The sequence below is a fragment of the Homo sapiens genome, chromosome 6 (assembly GCF_000001405.40).
Source record: "Homo sapiens chromosome 6, GRCh38.p14 Primary Assembly".
NCBI classification, from domain to species: domain Eukaryota; kingdom Metazoa; phylum Chordata; class Mammalia; order Primates; family Hominidae; genus Homo; species Homo sapiens.
In genome coordinates, this window is record NC_000006.12 from 160,445,124 (window position 1) to 160,452,789 (window position 7,666).

At 42.5% G+C, this 7,666-nt stretch overlaps 1 protein-coding gene across 5 annotated transcripts in view; it reads left to right on the forward strand.

The window, feature by feature from the left end:
• Positions 1-7,454, forward strand: part of SLC22A3 (solute carrier family 22 member 3) — a 104,200-nt gene extending 96,746 nt beyond the window's left edge. For all 5 annotated transcript variants that reach the window (XM_005267106.6, NM_021977.4, XM_011536076.4 and 2 more), the window contains exons 10-11: positions 2,596-2,695; positions 5,873-7,454. In XM_005267106.6, coding sequence (XP_005267163.1) covers positions 2,596-2,695; positions 5,873-5,933 — 161 coding nt within the window. In that variant the 3' untranslated portion in view covers positions 5,934-7,454. The remainder of the gene's footprint in view (positions 1-2,595; positions 2,696-5,872) is intronic.
• Positions 7,455-7,666: the final 212 nt, after the last annotated feature.

The following is a 7,666-nucleotide window of genomic DNA, read 5'->3' on the forward strand; positions in this document are numbered from 1 at the left end:
AACAGAATGTGATAACTGCTGAGACCCTGAAAGCAGAGGCTCCTATGAGAATAGGTCACAGGGACCCTTGACCCCTGAGTGGAAGGGAGCAGGCCAGGGAGGAAGGAAGCAATGTCTAGGCCAAGAGGGGCTGGCTGTGCTCCAGGCAGTGGAAAGTTCAAAGCAAGAGGATGCCGCATCCTCAAGCACCTGGTGCTAGAGGATGGAGTGCAGTTGTGAGCTGGGCCTGAAGAGAGGTGGTGCCAGGGCAGGGCAGGGACTGGATCCGGAAGGGCCTCAAGGACATGCCAAGGCTTTGCTCTTTATACACACAGCAGTGGAAAGTGACTGGACAGTTTCACCCTGAGGTGGACAGAGCTGGCCTTGCATTGTAGAAACACAGATATGCAAGTGGGTTGGAAGGACCCCCCAGCATCGTCCCTCTGATGGTAGATATGCAAGTGGGTTGGAGGGACGATGTTGGGGGTGACAATTCAAGGATGTCATCATCAGGAGATCACAGTGGCTTCTTCTAATAAAGGGATGGCAATGGGAATGGAGAGGGTGGACAGATTGAGTAAACATCTTAGAAGCCAGCTGGGCAAGATGGGATCACTGATGGGCACAGGGAGAAAGCATGGTGACCTGAGAAGCCCAGGTGCCTGGGGAGAAGCAGGTGGCACAGGCACTGTAGCAGCAAGGCTGAGGGTCTGCAGGGTGATGGGGCTCTGTGTCCGCTGTGCATAATTTGAGGCACCTGGAAGAGTTCAAGTGGAAATAGAAACCAGCAGGCTCAACACCGCTGAGCTCAGGAGGGAAGAGTGGCCTTGGGATGAAGAGCTGGAAGCCACCTGGCAGTAGAGAATGGTTGAAGCTGAGGGAGTGGCCCAAGCCCCCCAGAAAATCAGGACAAAGCAAGAGGAAAGCAGGAGGCCTAGGACAGAGACCTGAGGGGTGGCAAAGTGACAGACCTAGGCAGAAGGAGAGGAGGTGGCCAAGGAAGTGGAAACCAAGTGAGAAGCCCGAGGCAGGAGGGCACGAGACCAGGTCCAACCTAAGGACTGAAAGTAGCACATGTGGATCTGGTGGCCAGCAAGAGGCAGAAGGAACCTGACTGGAGCAGAGCCAGGGAGAATATAGGCTGAGTCTGGAGGAGGGCAGGCAGAGGCAGGACCTGGAGCATGGTCCTATGCTGGTGCTGGCACCTCCCACTCACCAGGGCCAACTGCTACCATATTAGTTCGTTTGCCACTGCTATAAATAACTGCCCAAGACTGGGTAATTTATAAAGAAAAGAGGTTTAATTGACTCACAGTTTCACATGACTGGGGAAGCCTCAGGAAACTTACAATCATGGTGGAAGGGGAAGCAGGCACGTCCTACATGGTGGCAGGTAAGAGAAGAGCAAGGAAAATTACCACTTATAAATCCATCAGATCTCATGGGAACTCACTCACTATCACGAGAACAGCATGGGGAAACCTCCCCAACAATCCAGTCACCTCCCACCAGGTCCCTCCCTCAACATGTGGGGATTACAATTCGAGATGAGATTTGGGTGGATAGACAGAGCCAAACCATATCAGCTACATTTTCAAGAATTTTGTAAGCCAGTCATCAAGCACAGATATCATCAAAAAGTAAAGAATATGAAATATATGAGAAATAGAGGCAATAAATGCCCAACACTCATCAGTCCCTAATTCAGCTACTACACCTTCAGTATTACCTGTGCTCCTGAGATTGTGTCTGCTGCATCTTTATGGTGGAAGCCCCATTGATGGGGCTCCTGCATCACTTCCCAGTGGCCCAGGCAGGGATGTTGTGTCAGTAGCCTGAAGGGCCCACAGTGGGAGCATTTAAACCATGCACATTGGCAGATGCTGCCAATCAGGGCTTGATTGCCCAAAGAGGGTTGTTAGGCATTTACCAGCACACCACTAGGCTACAAAGAAGTGGAGAAAATAGGGGAGGGTGGCTTTTCAAGAAGTTTGGCTCTAAAGAGCAGAAAAAGAAAGGATGGTAATGGAAGGATGAGGTGAGATTGAGAGAAGGCTGGTCAAACAGGAAAGGTCTGAATGTGTTTGAAAGCTTCTCCCAATAGGTTGAAGATACTGGAGGAAGGGTTGATCCCTACAGTGAGGAGCCCAAAGAGACAGGCCTAGGAGAAGGCTGGTCCCGGAGTAGACACCAGGACAAGCTTTCCACTGTAAGGTAACAGGAGGAATCGGAGGGAGAGGGGCAGGTAAGTGAGAGTGTCAGTGAGCGGGCGCAGAGGGGACTCCCCTCCAGCACTTCTGTTTCCCTGTGATGCAGGAGAGGAGGCCTTGGGTGTTGGACCCTAAGAAGGAACTCAGTCAATCACTGTGAGATGTGTGAGTGAACACATGGCTGCCAGGTATACAGGGGCCGTGGTGCTACTCAGGGTTTGAGGAAGGGAGAGAACCTTTGAAGCTGTGGTAAGGGAGAGCTGGGGCATTGATCTGGGATGCAGAGGTTGCTGTGGTTGAGAGCTACTCCAGTGAGCAACATGATGGCTTCAGAGTGAGCAGGCCCCATGGGAGAGGGCCCAGCTGTGTCTTCCTGGAGCGGTAACACCTTTCCCCTATTCCATAGGTATCCTGGCATCCATCTGTGGTGGCCTTGTGATGCTTTTGCCTGAAACCAAGGGTATTGCCTTGCCAGAGACAGTGGATGATGTAGAAAAACTTGGCAGGTACTGTACAAAATTCAATGCACCCTAAATAAAAGCAATATTTAAAACCACGGGGGAAAGAATGACATTGAGAAAATTGAATATCCACAGGGAAAAAAATAAGAATAAATCCTCATCTCATATTGTAAGCAAAAAATTCAAAGTAGATACAAAAGGTTAACATAAAAAAAACCCTCCAGAGCTAGATAAGAGTATGCATTGTTTTTTTTAATGTGGTTGTGAAGAGAGAAGCATTTTCACATAAGGTGCTAAGACTCAGAAGTGATCTAAAGGCAGGAACTGCTGATGTGGGAAAGTGGAAATTGCTGGGACATACAGCAGCAGGGGATTAACAGTGTGGCTTACTCTACAGAGTGAGGATGCGTCAGGTCTGTCTAGATGGAATGGCATAGGCAGGTTTTCAAGACTGACTACAAAGTGAAATGTCACTGAACAACATGTTATAGTATTTATAAAAAACTAAAACCAAAGGTGTTTTCTCTCTGCAGCTGGATAGGAAGACAGATGACACACAGATGATAGATAATAGGTAGATGATAGATAATAGGTAGATGGATGATAGATAGATATAATAGATGATAATCATAGATAGATAAGTGATAGTAGATAAATGATAAATAATAGATGATAGATGATAGATAGATACAGATAGATAAATAGACAGGTAGATGATAGGTAATGTCTGGATAGATAGGTGGATAGATAAATAGATAATAGATGATAGATAATAAACATTAGTAGGAAGATAGAGAGATTGAGTTTTGGAGGGGGGTGTTTAAATAGGGTATAAGTAAAACTAATACCCAGCCAATATATTAACATGAGGAGTAATGTCAAGAAAAATTCACATTACACAAATTCTTTCTAATTGTTTGAAATTTTTTCATTAAAACATAGAGATATGAATATGAGAATGTATAGTACAAGATGTAAAATATTAATATGTGCCCTCTGTGGACACAAATGGGCTGGGAAGAGGGGTAGGGAAGGGAGGACCATCACTTTCTTGCCAGAGACTTCCATACTGTTTGATTTTCTTTAAAAATTAGAACACGTAGTCTTGTGTTGCTTGTGTAGTTTTAAAAAATGATGTAACAGCTAATTTAACAACTAAAAAGCAATCTTAATAATGACTTAGGAATTAAGAACATGGAGCTCTAAATATTTTTAATATATAAAAAATCCTGAGGAACAGCTTTCTTCCCTTTGATTCTATTCCACTGACTGCCTTCTGTTTACACAATGAGAGTGATGCTTTCATTCTTTATCCCCAAACCAATCAGGATCAGATTTGCAAACTCATCAGGAAAAAATGGAAGAAAAGGGAGTCCTCTGAAATCAAGACTTTTCTACTGCTTCAGTAACATTAAAAATAAACAGCTAGGAGAGGTTTTTTTGTTTTTGTTTTTGTTTGTTTTTGGCTTGGGGAGTGTGGGTGGAAGGGGGTTGTCTAAATGGTGTGCAAGGAAAATCAATACCCAACTAACATATAAACATGAAGGATTATACCAGCAAAAATTTAAGGTACCCAGATTCTTTCTAATTTTTTTCTGTTTATAATTTTTCATAATGAAAAGTTGGGTACATTAATTAATTATACCTAGTCTCTATACATGAAAAAAAATATAGTAGAAGTATGGTTTACAGTGCTACAATTTAAGCACATTAATTGTGATCCATGGTTATTTACTCTACAAAAATTACTTAGTGCTAAATTACTAAAACTTGCTAGCATTTCCCTTTTAAAAATCACACTGGATTATTTTATCGTTTCTGCTGGTTTTTGTTCATGTTAACAGCTCATTTCCAAATATATGTTAATTCAGTAGAAGTTCATAAAGAACTTAAATGCTATAATGCTAACAAACCCCTGTATCAGAGGAACCAGCCCCCAATATTTCAGCATAGGTTCTATTTTCCATAAGTGTTGGCCAGCTGAGAAATAAAAAGAGTACAAAGAGAGGAATTTTACAGCTGGGCCGCTGGGGGTGACATCACATATCGGTAGGACTGTGATGCCCACCTGAGCCTTAAAGCCAGCAAGTTTTTATTAAGGGTTTCAAAAGGGGAGGGGGTGTAAGAACAGGGAGTAGGTACAAAGATCACATGCTTCAAAGGGCAAAAAGGAGAACAAAGATCACAAGGCAAAGGGCAAAAACAAACATCACAAGACAAAGAGCAAAAGCAGAATGACTGAAAAGGGTCTATGTTCAGCGGTGCATGTATTGTCTTGATAAACATCTTAAACAACAGAAAACAGGGTTCTAGAGCAGAGAACTGGTCTGACCTCAAATTTACCAGGGCGGGGTTTCCCAATCCTAGTAAGCCTGAGGGTACTGCAGGAGGCCAGGGTGTATTTCAGTCCTTATCTCAACCGCATAAGGCAGACTCTCCCAGTGCGACTGTTTATAGACCTCCCCCTAGGAACGCATTCCTTTCCCAGGGTCTTAATTATTAATATTCCTTGCTAGGAAAAGACTTCAGCAATATCTTCCCTACTTGCACATCCATTTATAGGCTCTCTGCAAGAAGAAAAATATGGCTGTATTCTGCCCGATCCCACAAGCAGTCAGACCTTATGGTTGTCTTCTCTTGTTCCCTGAAAATCGCTGTTACTCTGTTCTATTTCAAGGTGCACTGATTTCATATTGTTCAAACACACATGTTTTATAATCAATTTGTACAGTTAACACAGTAGTGGTCCTGAGGGACATACATCCTCAGCTTACAAAGATAACAGGATTAAGAGATTAAGGTAAGAGATGCATAAGAAATTATAAAAGTATTAATTTTGGGAACTGATAAATGTCCATATTAAAATGAAATATTCACAATTTATGTTCAGAGATTGAAGTAAAGACAGGCATAAGAAATTATAAAAGTATTAATTTGGGGAACTGATAAATGTCCATATCAAAATGAAATCTTCACAATTTATATTCCTCTGCTGTGGCTCCAGCTGGTCCCTCCATTCAGGGTCCTTGACTTCCTGCAACACCCCTAAGGTCTGAACACAGACAAAAAATGATCCTGGAGACAGATATTGTTGTTACCTTAGAGTTGGGTTTTCATGAATGTATTTGATCAAAACCAGCTATACTATTAAATAATAACAGAACACCCTCTTCTAACTAGTTACATAATCTTTCCTAAAGACTTTCTCCTTTGTTTTTTCAGTCCACATTCCTGTAAATGTGGCAGGAATAAGAAAACCCCAGTTTCCCGCTCTCACCTTTGAGGCCCCCGACAAAGACAGAAAGAAGGAGCTATCCAGGAGCTGATCCTCCTTGCAAAGCTGTGCCTTGCAGAGATGCACGTGTGCATTTCAGCTACATCATGCCGCGCTGTTGTAATACTGTATAAAGACCTCAATCTATCCAGAGTATTTTTATATAATGTTGGATGAGTTAGGATTTGTAATGCTGTTGAAGTTTCTGGGAACACATAATATGTAGCCAGTTTAACAAAGAAGCTGTCAGGTGCACAGCCCTTCCTGGGTTTTTTTCTTGTGTTCCCTGTGGTCTCTGACCCATTAGGCTAAAGAGAGACAAGAGAAGCCCCCAACCTGATTCTCATGACAGCTCCATCAAGAATGTGGGATGTGCCGACCAAGGATTTGAGAAAGTTGTACAGAAATGTGTTCATCAAATCTGGTCAAGGGACTAAGCTCCTAGCTGACCATTCATTCTGAAGATTGCATGGAGGATGAACATCTGGGAATCCTGTTAATGAGAAGGCTGAATCACAGGCACCTGGGCCAAAGGGTGTGAGCATTCATGTTCTCTGCTCACCTTGGTTTCCGCACACCTTCGCAATGTGAACAGGTCAGGAGTCCCTCCCGTCCACCTCCTCTGTAACAGCTGGGGTTCCAGGCATGGTTTAGGCCCTGTTCCAGCAATAAGAACCAATCTGCTGTACAATCTGAGGACTTGGCTCTGTTATTTACAAAATGATGCTGTGGTTCTGAGATTATTTGGGACATTTTTGGCTCTCCTTTAGTGGACACCTAGAGCCACAGATTCCCTTCTTTACTAAACAAATCCCATGGATTCTGATTTCTGGGTCTTAGGATTTTAAAAGTGAAGGGATATTTTTCTTATATTTGTGAGTTCAGTTCCGATGGTGCCCGTGGTCAAAAGCGAAAAACATGGACAATTCCTATTCATTCTTAGCACTTTGACATGTCTTGGGGAAAAGCTTACATTTTAATTTAAAAGAAAGATCAATTATATCCATGCTTAACAGGATCAGCAGGAGCTTTATAAATGACTTTACAGAGACTAATAAGGGATTTGATCTTTCTTTTTTTGTTATCGAGGCTTTTGAAATGTGGAACTTGTGTGTTCTGCTTTATATGTTATATTCAATATCTTTTCAGATGCAGTCTATATTTTATGCTGAGTTTTAAAAATGAAATACTTTATGCAAACAGGCAAAATTGGTACCAAAGGGAAACATTAACCATGAGGAAGAGCATTTTTCTAAGGAGAACAGGTGACAATATACACATGTGCGCTAATCGTAAAATGAGCATCTTAGTCTTTAAAACACATCAGAATTGAATACGAATAATCTATTTGTCGATGAAATAAACACAACTCTTTGAGGATTTGAGACTACATTCACCCTTTATTCACAGTCACTTGCAGTTTTGCTTTTCTCTGCATTTCTCTGCTGTAAGATGACTGTTGCATTGTTGAATTGTATTTTGAGTGGATATTTTTGTTTGGTAACAATTAAAATTTTAAATCGTAAAAAATGTACATTTGCCCTTTCTCTTCCTTCTAAACATGTGTCTCTCCCACAGGTCATTCTCCTGTGACACGTGTACTGCAGAGTGTTTCAAAACCGGGCAGGCAATTAGCAATGGGAAATAAGTGGTCCACCTTCAATATTTGCTTGTTGTTCATTTACATGCTCTTGGCACCAATCCTAGACTCACGTGTGCCCCAGAATAACATTCAGACTCTC